This window comes from Homo sapiens, chromosome 8 (assembly GCF_000001405.40).
Source record: "Homo sapiens chromosome 8, GRCh38.p14 Primary Assembly".
NCBI lineage: Eukaryota > Metazoa > Chordata > Mammalia > Primates > Hominidae > Homo > Homo sapiens.
This window is the reverse complement of record NC_000008.11, coordinates 144614233-144627443: the sequence shown is the minus strand read 5'-3', so window position 1 is coordinate 144627443 and position 13211 is coordinate 144614233. Positions and strand designations below refer to the sequence as shown.

Genomic DNA, 13211 nt, shown 5'->3' with positions numbered 1-13211 from the left:
AGGTGGGAATACAGGTGCCCACCACCACACCCAGCTGATTTTTTCTTGTATTTTTAGTAGAGACGGGGTTTCACCGTGTTAGCCAGGATGGTCTCGATCTGACCTCGTGATCCACCTGCCTCGGCCTCCCAAAATGCTGGGATTACAGGCATGAGCCACCGCGCCCGGCCAGTGGACCCCCTTTCTTGCATTGTGGCCTGGAAGGTCAACCAGCTGAAAATGAAGGGTGACACCAGAGCCCCCTCCTGTGTCCCCCGCCTGTCCCTGGCAGCTGCAGACACTGGGATGGCGGTCGGATCCAAACAGCAGAGGCAGCTGCAGCCTTGGCCTGGCTCCTTTGTGAGGGGCTGGGTTCCAGGACAGCTGGATCCAGGTGCCAGGTGGTCTGTCTTCTTTTTCTTGTTTTTCATTTCTGCTCCCTGGTGTTTTTGCGGGGGGATCCTCTCCCCAGGGGGGACAAACATGGCCCCGACAGCTGCAAGCCACGAACCTTATCCCAGCAGGAGTTTCAGGGATGTCTTGTGGGGGCTGTTGTCCCACCTCAGTGCTGCTGCCTCCATGCTGTGCCTTTCTTGGGGCCAGACATCTGGGGAGCCCCACTCAAGTGTCAGGAGGGGGAACTGCAGAGAGAGGGGTCTCTAGCCGAGGAGGGGAGGGGAGGGAAGCTGCCCAGCAGAGCCGCGGGCGTGTCCCCGGTAGGAGGGCAGACCTTGGTCTTGGAGACGGGCCGTGGGGGTCCACCTTGTACGTGGGGAGGTCAGGACTCAGGAAGAGATGCTGGTGGTGTTGGCAGGGCTTTTGCTGGGCCTGCTGCAGTGCAGTGGGTGCTCCGTGAACGGGGCCGCCGGGACAGGGGATGCCGCAGTGTGCAGTGGGTGCTCCGTGAACGGGGCCGCCGGGACAGGGGCTGCCGCAGTGTGCAGTGAGTGCTCCGTGAACGGGGCCGCGGGGACAGGGGCTGCCGCAGTGTGCAGTGGGTGCTCCGTGAACGGGGCCGCCGGGACAGGGGCTGCCGCAGTGTGCAGTGGGTGCTCCGTGAACGGGGCCGCCGGGACAGGGGCTGCCGCAGTGTGCAGTGGGTGCTCCGTGAACGGGGCCTCCGGGACAGGGGCTGCCGCAGTGTGCAGTGAGTGCTCCGTGAACGGGGCCGCGGGGACAGGGGCTGCCGCAGTGTGCAGTGAGTGCTCCGTGAACCGGGCCGCCGGGACAGGGGATGCCGCAGTGTGCAGTGGGTGCTCCGTGAACCGGGCCGCCGGGACAGGGGATGCCGCAGTGTGCAGTGGGTGCTCCGTGAACGGGGCCGCCGGGACAGGGGCTGCCGCAGTGTGCAGTGAGTGCTCCGTGAACGGGGCCGCCGGGACAGGGGCTGCCGCAGTGTGCAGTGGGTGCTCCGTGAACGGGGCCGCCGGGACAGGGGCTGCCGCAGTGTGCAGTGGGTGCTCCGTGAACGGGGCCGCCGGGACAGGGGCTGCCGCAGTGTGCAGTGAGTGCTCCGTGAACGGGGCCGCGGGGACAGGGGCTGCCGCAGTGTGCAGTGAGTGCTCCGTGAACCGGGCCGCCGGGACAGGGGATGCCGCAGTGTGCAGTGGGTGCTCCGTGAACCGGGCCGCCGGGACAGGGGCTGCCGCAGTGTGCAGTGGGTGCTCCGTGAACGGGGCCGCCGGGACAGGGGCTGCCGCAGTGTGCAGTGAGTGCTCCGTGAACGGGGCCGCGGGGACAGGGGCTGCCGCAGTGTGCAGTGGGTGCTCCGTGAACGGGGCCGCCGGGACAGGGGCTGCCGCAGTGTGCAGTGAGTGCTCCGTGAACGGGGCCGCCGGGACAGGGGCTGCCGCAGTGTGCAGTGGGTGCTCCGTGAACCGGGCCGCCGGGACAGGGGCTGCCGCAGTGTGCAGTGGGTGCTCCGTGAACGGGGCCGCCGGGACAGGGGCTGCCGCAGTGTGCAGTGAGTGCTCCGTGAACGGGGCCGCGGGGACAGGGGATGCCGCAGTGTGCAGTGAGTGCTCCGTGAACCGGGCCGCCGGGACAGGGGCTGCCGCAGTGTGCAGTGGGTGCTCCGTGAACGGGGCCGCCGGGACAGGGGCTGCCGCAGTGTGCAGTGGGTGCTCCGTGAACGGGGCCGCCGGGACAGGGGCTGCCGCAGTGTGCAGTGGGTGCTCCGTGAACGGGGCCGCCGGGACAGGGGCTGCCGCAGTGTGCAGTGGGTGCTCCGTGAACGGGGCCGCCGGGACAGGGGCTGCCGCAGTGTGCAGTGGGTGCTCCGTGAACGGGGCCGCCGGGACAGGGGCTGCCGCAGTGTGCAGTGGGTGCTCCGTGAACGGGGCCGCCGGGACAGGGGCTGCCGCAGTGTGCAGTGGGTGCTCCGTGAACCGGGCCGCCGGGACAGGGGCTGCCGCAGTGTGCAGTGGGTGCTCCGTGAACCGGGCCGCCGGGACAGGGGATGCCGCAGTGTGCAGTGGGTGCTCCGTGAACGGGGCCGCCGGGACAGGGGCTGCCGCAGTGTGCAGTGGGTGCTCCGTGAACGGGGCCGCCGGGACAGGGGCTGCCGCAGTGTGCAGTGGGTGCTCCGTGAACCGGGCCGCCGGGACAGGGGATGCCGCAGTGTGCAGTGGGTGCTCCGTGAACGGGGCCGCCGGGACAGGGGCTGCCGCAGTGTGCAGTGGGTGCTCCGTGAACGGGGCCGCGGGGACAGGGGCTGCCGCAGTGTGCAGTGAGTGCTCCGTGAACCGGGCCGCCGGGACAGGGGCTGCCGCAGTGTGCAGTGAGTGCTCCGTGAACCGGGCCGCCGGGACAGGGGATGCCGCAGTGTGCAGTGAGTGCTCCGTGAACCGGGCCGCCGGGACAGGGGCTGCCGCAGTGTGCAGTGAGTGCTCCGTGAACCGGGCCGCCGGGACGGGGGATGCTGCGGTTTTGCTGTTCGTGCAGCCGTGTCGGTGCAGATGTGCGGGTTAGAGGCAGCCTTGCCACACAGGCGAGTCTTCACTGGTCTTCAGAAGGAGATTGGGGTGTGATTGATCAGAGAGAAATGATGTGTTCTAGTTCATTCTCAGGCCCGGTGAGTTGTGGATTTCATGCTTCCTCTTTCCTCTTTATTCATATAAAATTATTTCTTGAGACGATGATTATTTTATATATTTAATGATTCATTGTTTTGTCCAAGCCCAAAAGTGTATCCTATACTGTACGCTTTACACTTAGTGCAAAGGGCGCTCGTCATGGCTGTCGGCACGGCCAAGTCACTGGGGCTAACATGGCAGGCACAGGTGCAGGTGGGTGTGGCTTACAGGGCCGACCTCGTATGGCTCCTGGCTGATTTAGCACGAGCGTAAGGAAGCTTCTCTTCGGGAGGCCTGCGTGCTGGTGAGGTCTGGGCTCTTTCTGATGGGTGGAGGGTCCTGCTTGTTTGCAGCACGAGGCTGCTCCGTCAGCTCTCCAGGTCTTAGCTGGGACGCCCAAGGCTGCTGCTGATGCCAAGCATGGTCATGGGCCTTTGCAGTTGGTGTGCTGTTGTCACCCCAACAAGTGAGGGATGCGGGCGCAGAGCTCCTCACTCACTGCCAGTCCTTCTCTGGGAGGCTTTTTGTCTGCTCTGTGTGCTTACTTGCCCAGTGGCCTCTCTCATTCCTGATTCTGGGCGGTGCATTTGACAGAGGCCTGCCTGGGTGCTGCGGCCTCTGACATTTGCCCAGACGTTGCTTCATGCCCTGCTCTGTGGTCAGTTTCAGAGACACTCCCTGGATGGTGAATCTGTGTTTTCCGTTTCTTGGGTCGGCGTTCTGCACACCTGCAAGGTAAAGCAAGGCTTCTTGTACCATCTCCTCTGTCGCTGCAGACGTCGGGTGCCTCCTGGAACACGTCTGCCTGCTTTGTGTCTGTGCCGCGAGGCCGCCTGTCAGGTCTGGGTCGCCTCGCCAGTCGCGGAAGCCTTGTATCCACAGAGCCAGCCTCGATGGAGCCGCATCAGCTCTGTCTCTTCCATTCTTGACTTTTAGAATTTCCTGCCCTTATACTTTAGATGTGTTTGGTATAGATCTTTACCAAGATCTTTAAAATCTTGCTGACAGTCTTTGTCTTAACTAGACTATTGGTCCATTTACATTACTGTAATTATTATATTTAAATTTATTTCCACCATCTTTCCTTGTACTCTGTCATTTGAGGACCAGTTGCTTTTTCGTTTCTTGACTTCTTTTGGATTATTTTTGTTTCTTTTTCTTCTCTACTGGGTTGGAATTTGCTCACTTGGCTTCATAGTGGTTGCCTCGGATGTTCTAACATGCAGAATTAATTTGTTGAAGTCTAAAATTAGTATTTTTGCCCTCCTCCAAACGATTCAAAGATCCAGGAACATTTTATTCTGAGCACTCCGTCCACACAGGACTTGCCCTCCCCGTTGCAGCCTGCATGCAGCATATTGTGTTTCTGTGGGTCCTGACCGAGTGGGGCCAGGACTGTGATAAGAGCTTCCCCTAGGGCTGGATGGTGGCTTTCTTCCTTGTTCACCTAAACCCTCCCAGTCTCAGCCTTGGGGCGTCCCCCGGCAGTAACTGGATCAGCAACCAGGCCTGGCCCAGCCTCTCTCCCCTGACTTCTGCAAAGCTGTGAAAGGAGCGGGCGCAGGCCAGCTGCCGGCCAGGGCCCTCCTGCGCGGGGCCTTCCTTTTTCCAGGTTCCTGCTTTTACTTAGGTTTTGTTCTCTAAGGTTCTGAACGTTCTTGCCAACCCAGTGATAGATTTTTAAAGTTTTTAAAAATATATCTTACCTGGTAGTAATGCTTGTTTGTTCATTAAAGGTCTGGTCAAAGCTGCATAGTTTACTCTGACAGAACGCAAGTGTCCACTCTGAATACATTGACTCCTGTCGGTGCTGTGGGCTGGGCTCGCACCTGAGGCTGGAGTGTTTTTCTCCCACCAGAACTGGGCCTCCTCTCCTGGGAGGGCGGCTCCGGGCACAGCCGCTCTGGCCCTCGGGTCATTGTGGCAGAGCCCGGAGTATCTGGGAGGTGCCATGCCTTCTGCTGCTTGTTGTGGTTTAGCCTTGGACTTGGCTGGAGGCTTCACAGAAGGAAGCCTGTGGCGGGTGGGGCTGCTGACATGGCCATGGGGGTGTGAGGACATTGCTGAAGTTTTTCTGGAACCTACGTTAAGAAACTGGAAGTGATTCCTCCCAGAGGCAGCTCACCTCAGCCTTGGCCACTCAGCCTCCGCTCCTCTGGTGCCCCAAGGCCCCCACGCTTTGCCCGGGACCCCTCACCTTGGGCCTGTGCAGACCCCATCGAGGCAGAGGCGGTCTGCCTGTGTCCCGCTGCTGGCACGAGGCCGTGGGGGGCTCAGTCTTGTGTGTGTTTTCTGTGTCTGTCCCTTTCCTCTTTTTCTTTCCTGCTTTCTGTGGGGTAAATGAAAGTTTCTCCTCCTTTGTGTTTTTCCAGTTGATTTGATTATTTTCTTTGTCACCCTTAACATTGTGCATTCTGAGTCTTCCTACCCAAGTCGCAGTCACTCAGCTCTTCTGAGGAGTACCTGAGCGTGTGCGGCCCGCACTGAGCCGACCACATCTTGTTTGCCTGAAACTGTAGTTTTATCCCTTAGGAGAACATGAGCATGAGCTTTTGTTTTATTTTATTTCTGAGACAGGGTCTCACTCCTGTCGCCCAGGCTGCAGAGTGCAGTGGCGATATCTTGGCTCACTGCAGCCTCTACCTCAGGGCCTCAAGCCATCCTCCCACCTCAGCCTCCTGAGTAGCTGGGACTATGGATGTGCACCACCACGCCCTGCTAATTTTTGTATTTTTTCGTAGAGATGGGGTTTCACTATGTTTCGCAGGCTGGTCTTGAACTTCTGGGCTGAAGCAATCTGCCTGCCTCAGCCTCCCAACAACATGAGCTTTTAACCAGTGGTCAATTACATTCACCACTGTCTTCCTCCCACCTGCCAGGCCCTGCCCCCCAGCCCTTCCCGCCTCTTGCCTCAGAACCTCTTCTCTGGGTGGCACCTTGACTCCGGACCCTGTCGTGTTGATATGAAGCCATGGGACTGTCTCTTCCTGGGGTTTGTGGTTTTCCCACCCCTGGGAACTGGCAAGCTGCGTTTGAGGGCCTCTGTTGGCCTGGAAGCCCTGGGGGCCGTGGAAAACTTGGGAAGTGGGCGGTTTCTGTTCTAGAGCCCAGAGCCCTCATCAGGGAGACCTGGCAGGATGCAGCTTGTGCTGGCCTGGCCTGCTGCCCCTTTGCACAACTTCTGAGAGGGCACTGGTTGGCCTGCAGAGTCCAGGCTGAAGGCAGGGACTGCTCAGAGTTTATGTGATGTCATGCTAACAGGGCAGGCAGCTGCAGGCTGGGGCTTGGGCCACCCTGTGATGGGGGCTAGGACAGCACCAGCACAGCTGCCAACTGGGGCTCTGGGTGGTGAGTCTGGCCCCCTCCAACCATGTGCCTCCTGCAAAGCAGGCCTTCACAGGCTGGTGACAGCGGGGCTGCCAAGGGACGGGTCTGTGCCTGGCGTTTTCCAGTTGCTGTTCAGTTTCCCAGTTCCTTCCCGGCACCTTCACCTCGAGGGCACAGTGGCCACCTCAGGAGCTTGGCCCCAGGGATTCCTGCCGGTCCTCACGGCCCCTCTTCTGTACTCACAGTCCCTGCCTGTCCCAGCATCTTCTCACACGTAGGCGCCTGTCCTGGAGACGCAGGTGGATGGGCACAGGCGGTGCTCAGGGCAGCCCACTGGGTCAGGGGTCAGAGAGGGCGGTCTGGACCTGAATTGGGTTTGGAGCCATCACTCTTGCAAGGGATGCAAACTCGGCAGATGGCAGGGCTGCTTGAGCAGTGGGCATGCACTCACACACACGTACTCACACGCACGTGGGCACACATGCTCTCATGGACACACAAGCTCACGCACACGGGCATATATGCTCTCAGGGACACAGGCTCACACGGGCACACGTGCTCCCTTGGACACACAGGCTAACAGACACGGGCACACACGCTCCCTTGGACACACAGGCTAACAGACACGGGCACACACGCTCCCTTGGACACACAGGCTAACAGACACGGGCACACACGCTCCCTTGGACACACAGGCTAACAGACACGGGCACACACGCTCCCTTGGACACACAGGCTAACAGACACGGGCACACACGCTCCCTTGGACACACAGGCTAACAGACACGGGCACACACGCTCCCTTGGACACACAGGCTAACAGACACGGGCACACACACTTTCTCAGGGACACAGGCTCACACACGGGCACACACGCTCTCTCAGGGACACACAAGCTCACATGGGCACACGCTCTCAGGGACACACAGGCTCACACGCACACGGGCACACATGCTCAGGGACACACAGGCTCAACGCACACTCGGGCACACACAGACACGCTCTCAGGGACGCACAGGCACACAAACACCGGCACACACTGTCAGGGACGCACAGGCTCACACATGGGCACACACGCTCTCAGATGCACAGGCTCACACGCACACAGGCACACATGCTCTCAGGGACACAGGCTCACACGCACACGGGCACACACGCTCTCTCAGGGATGTACAGGCTCACTCACACGGGCTCACGCTCTCTCGGACACACAAGCTCGCACATGGGCACACACACTCTCAGGGACACAAGCTCACACACACGGGCACGCGCTCTCTCGGACACAGGCTCACACACACGGGCACACACTGAGGTACACACAGGCTCACACGCACACGGACACATATGCTTTTTCAGGGACACACAAGCTCTCATGCACACAGGCATACGTGCTCTCAGGTACACAGGCTCATGCACGGACACACGCTCTTGGACACACAGGCTCACACACGGACATGCACGCTCTCTCAGGGACACACAGTCTCACACACACACGGGTACTCACGCTGTCTCGGACACAGGCTCACGTGCACACAGGCACACACGCTTTCTCAGGGACACAGAGGCTCACACAAACGGTCTCTCAGGGACACACGAGCTCACGCGCACACGAGCATACCTGCTGTCTCAGGGACACACGGGCTCACGCACACGGGCGCACACGCACATGGGCACACACTCTCCCTCTGGGACACACAGGCCCACATGCATGCTGCGTGCCGGCCCTGGAGCGGGGATGGGGACCCGCGCTTCTCGGAGCGAGGGGCCTCTGGCACCCTGGTCTATGGCGGGCGTCGCCAGCCCAGGCAGATGCTGTTTCCGCGCTTGCTTTCCCAGCAGACCCTGTCTGGAGCTGGCACAGAGCATCCTCTGTTCCAGATTCGGCGTGGGACGTTGGAAGCAAGCGCCTGTTGCCCACTCATGACTGGAACTTTCCGGCAATGTGAGGTGGGGGTGGGAAGCCCTTGTGACGTGCCTGGGGCCTGGGCCTGTCCTGCTCTCTGGGCCTGTCCTGCTCCCTGTGTCCACTGTGGACCAGGCTGGGCTGTGGCCTTGACTGCTATGGAGACCACCACAGGCCCTGGGGGCCCCACGTCTGCAGGACGAGGATGAGGACGGAGCACACCTGCCTCATAGGGTTGTGGGAAGAACCAGACGAGGCCGCTGTCACCAGTGCGCAACTGTGCCCGCCACGGTGGCTGTGCGCCCGCGGTCCTGCTCACGCCACGCCACAGGGCCTCGGGAGGAGGTAGGCAGTGCCGGGGGCTGGGGAGGCCCCAGCAGGACTTGCTCCCAGGAAGCCCAGCACTGCGCCTCCCATGCGAGAACCGGGTACCACGTTGCAGGGAGCCGCTTCCTGCGCCCGGCCTCTTCAGGGACCTCCCTCCCAGCTGAGCAGGCGGCAGCCCCGGCAGAGGGGGAGGTGGCTGAGGCTGGCCCTGGGCCTGGGGATGGAGGGCGCATGGCTGAGGCGCGTCCTCGGGGCTCTGCCTGCCTGCTCGCGCCCACCACAACCTCTGCAGGCAGCAACCCCCACCTCAGGCAGGTCTCTGGGTACAGCATTCTGGTGGACAGCCTCAGGATAGAGTCCACGGTGACCTCCAGAAGCTTCCTCTCCCGTCACCTATTAAACTACCCACGAACACAGGCAAAAACAAAAATTCCACATCAGTAAACTGTGAAGTGGATTCTTTTTAAAAAGCTCATGTGAGATTACTGAGCAGAAAAGAAGAGGCGGGACGTGATCATGACAGACCCCTCAGCACCAGCCCTGCCCTTTCAGGACCCCATGTGGCCCCAGCCCCACACCAGGACCCCAGTCTGGGAGAGGGCGGGGACAAGGGGCACTGGGCTCGGGTGGGCTTTGCCATGCAGGCAGGCGAGGGGTTCTTGAAAGGGTGGAGCTCAGGATTTTTTGAGAAATGTTACAGTAACCACCTAATAAAAATTAAAATATTCTATTCCATTGAAAATAGAATTTTAGGCCAGGCGTGGTGGCTCATACCTGGAATCCCAGCACTTTGGGAGGCCGAGGCAGGCAGATCCCTTGAGCCAGGAAGTTCAAGGCCAGCCTGGGCAGCATAGAGAGACCCCATCTCTAGAAAAAATACAAAAATTAGCTGGGCGTGGTGGCTCGCACCTGTGGTCCCGGCTTCTCAGGAGACTGAGGCTGGAGCATCATTTGAGCCCGGGAGGTTGAGACTACAGTGACCCCTGATTGTACCACTGCAGTTCAGCCTGGGCGACAGAGCAAGACCCTGCCTCAAAAAAGGCAGAGGAAGAACAAATAGAATTTTTAAAATCAATGCAGAAGACGAAAGCAAAACATAAAACTATACAGAAAGGCAACCAACAAAGCCAGGTGAGAGGCAAGATTCCATGATTAAAAGAACAAAAACCTCACTTTAGATCACAAAACCAGACTAGAGCGGGTGCGGCTGGCAGAGTTCAGCTGCTCCTGCCTTTTTTTTTTTTTTTTGTCTTTTCAGTTTCTTATCTCCTGGGGCCAAGGCTGGGCTCTCAGCCTGAAGGCTGTGTTCCCAGGATGCCCAGCTGAGCTGGAGGGGTCTCCTGGTTTGCGGCGCTGGGTGCTCAGGTCTCCTGGTTTGCGGCGCTGGGTGCTCAGGTCTCCTGGTTTGTGGCGCTGGGTGCTCAGGTCTCCTGGTTTGCGGTGCTGGGTGCTCAGGTCTCCTGGCTCTTGCTGGTGCTGCGCCGCTTGTCCCGCCTGCCAAAGTCAGTGACAGGTGAGAAGCCCTTTGAGACGTGAGGTGCCAGGCCCTCGTACCATCACCTTTATTCAGAAGGACTTCTGAAATCACCCAATTGTGTTTTTTGTTTTTTTGGTGTTTTTTTTTTTTTACACAGAGTCTCGCTCTGTCGCCCAGGCCAGAGTACAGTGGCACAATCTCTGCTCACTGCAACCTCCGCCTCCCTAGTTCAAGTGATTCTCCTGCCTCAGCCTCCCGAGTAGCTGGGACTACAGGCCATGTGCCATCATTCCCAGTTAATTTTTGTATTTTTAGTAGAGACTAAAAATGTTGGCCAGGCTGGTCTCAAACTCCTGACCTCAAGTGATTCTCCTGCTTTGGACTCCCAAAGTGCTGCAATTCCAGGTGTGAGCCACTGCTCCCAGCATTGTTTTGTTTTAAAATAGTGTTTGTTGATTCACTGGGCAACATTGATTCACTGGGCATTGGGCATATATGGTAGTGAGCAGAAGACATTTTTATTTACCAGATTTTAAACAATCATTTTTTAAAGAGGTTTGAGTAATAAGAAAAATACCCTGCACCACAGGATGCCACTGGCACTCGCCGTCCTTCGTGGGACCCAGGTCCTCCTGCACCCGTCCTGCTGCCTGAGGCCACTGTGCCGCACCTGGATGCTGCCCCTATGGCCCTTGGGCCCCCCCTGCCCTCCCCACCTCCTGGCTGCTGCCTAGGGCGGCCTGGGGTGAGGCAGTGGCTCAGAGTCAGCAACACTCAGCCTCATCTCTTACCCTGGAGGTTGGCTTGGGGGGCTCAGCTTGGAGGGGGTCAAAGGAGTAGCTGAGCACCCTTTGACCAGGCGGCCTCCTAGGACACAAGCAGGCTCCGAGGAGGGGTCTGACCCTTGTAGTGCCTGAGCCTCTGTTTCCTGCATTTACAAAGCCCTTCCATGGGTTTTCTCATTTCTCTCTTAAAGCCAGGGGCAACCCACAGCCACACTCATTCAGAATTTATGAACAAGCCAGGACCCTTTCATGGGGGGCCTGTCCCAGGTCACAGACCAGGTCTCTCTTTTGACCATGGACACAGAGGATCCAGGAAGGGGCTGTGCTGCCAGGCAGGTCCATGCGTCCTAAAGGCACAGAGGCCCCTCCAGACTGCCTCTCTCAGGAACTTGTCACACAGACGGAGCCAGGTGTAATGCCAGCCCCAGGGCCAAGCAGCAGCTTTGCAAATGTTGCAGCAGCCACACCACAGTAAGAAATTCTTTTTCTGCGCATCCAGGTGGCTCCAACCAGCACCGTCCTTTCCGTGTGGGGTGTGCCTGACCCCCTCCTTTCCCCCTCCCAGAAAGGTGAAGAAGCCGGCCCTGACCTCCCAAGTCCATTCCATGGCTTGCTGATGGGCTGGGTCACAGCTCTAAACCCCTCAACCTGGCCTGTCCTGGAGCAGGCGGCTTTGGTGAGCACAGCTGCTGAAGGGGCGGCAAATGCCGGACGTGCCTGTCCTGCTCACTGGGGTCGTGTCTTTGCCCAGCCTGGCCCAGGCACTGGGCGGGGAGAATGGGGCCTTGTGTCTCCAGCTCACAGCCGAGCTTTCAGAGCATGAGACTGGGTTCATTGTTCAGAACCGGGAAAACTAAAAACAGCATTGAGAGTGGAACTTGGGCCTTCTGGAAATGACAGCTGAGTAAAGACTCATTTATTCTGCTTTCCTTCTTGAAACTCACTGCAGTGAACAAAGAGAATGAAAAATAGGGAACAAGATTTAATCCACAATGGGCCTAAGGAATAGCCATGGCAAAGGAGGGTGTCGGCCAGACGGGAAGCAGTGACAGCCATATCAGGTCTCCAGCAGGCTGGGTTTTTGTTTAACAAGAATGGATTTTTGGAGATAGCATTGATGAGTATTTTAAAAGAATGGGGTTGTGTCTCGGGGAGCTGAGTATAGGCAGACATCTGGCAAGATGAGGCAGAAGGCCCACGTGCTTCACTTTTCTGTAAGATACAGACTTGTTTTTTTTTTTCTAATTTTTAGAGAAGGGGGTCTCACTTTGTTGCCCAGGCTAGAGCGCAGTGCCACAGTCATAGCTCACTGTAGCATCGACCTTCTGGGGTCAGCGATCCTCTCACCTTAGCCTTTCAAGTAGCTGGGACCACAGGCGTGTGCCACCACGCCCAGCTAATCATTGTATTTTTTGGTAGAGGTGAGGTTTTGCCATCTTGCCCAGCTGGTCTCGAACTCCTGAGCTCAAGCAGTCCTCCTACCTTGGTCTCCCAAAGTGCTGGGATTATAGGCGTGAGCCTCTGCCCCCATGATCCAGACTCGTAAGGGGTGAAATGGGGAATGAAAGGATGGGCTGAGGATTCCTCTTAGTTTTTCAACATCATACTGATCATTGTGTTCATATAAGGAAACTACCAGAGAACAGGAAGGATTAGAGGGAACAGTAAGGGAACACCTGGAAGGATTAGAGGGAACAGTAAGTACTCAGAGCTCTCAAAACACTAAGAAGAGTGCCTGTTGCCAGCAGGCTGACTGAGAAACCTCATAACTCACAGGGCATGTGGTAGCGTACCCAGTGGAGAACAGTTAGCCCTAGAATAAATGCTGCTCTGCTGCTGTGTGACAATCTCAGAAGCAAGAGTCAACATTTTCAGTTTCCAAGTATCTGGATCCAAAACAAAGCTCAAGAATAGTAACGGGCCAGGCACGGTGGCTCACACCTGTAATCCCAGCACTTGTGGAGGCCAAGGTGGGCGGATCACCTGAGGCCAGGAGTTCAAGACCAGCCTGGCCAACATGGTTAAACCCCATCTCTACTGAAAATACAAAAATTAGCTGGGCGTGGTGGCATGCACCTGTAATCCCAGCTACTTGGGAGGCTGAGGCAGGGGAATCACTTGAACCCGGGAGGCGGAGGTTGCAGTGAACCGGGATTGTGCCGTTGCACTCCAGCCTGGGTGGCAGAGCGAGACTCCGTCTCAAAAAAAAAAAAAAAATAGTAACAGGAACACAAAAAATATGCAGCTTTCCAAGAGGTAACATTCATAATGTCTGGCATCCAACCAAAGATTATCAGGTGTGGAAAGAAACAGGAAAATAGAACCCATACTGGAGTGAA

At 58.1% G+C, this 13211-nt stretch overlaps 1 protein-coding gene across 3 annotated transcripts in view; it reads left to right on the top strand.

The window, feature by feature from the left end:
* ARHGAP39 (Rho GTPase activating protein 39) overlaps window positions 1-13211 on the top strand; it is a 171184-nt gene that overhangs the window by 72919 nt on the left and 85054 nt on the right. The window lies entirely within an intron of this gene.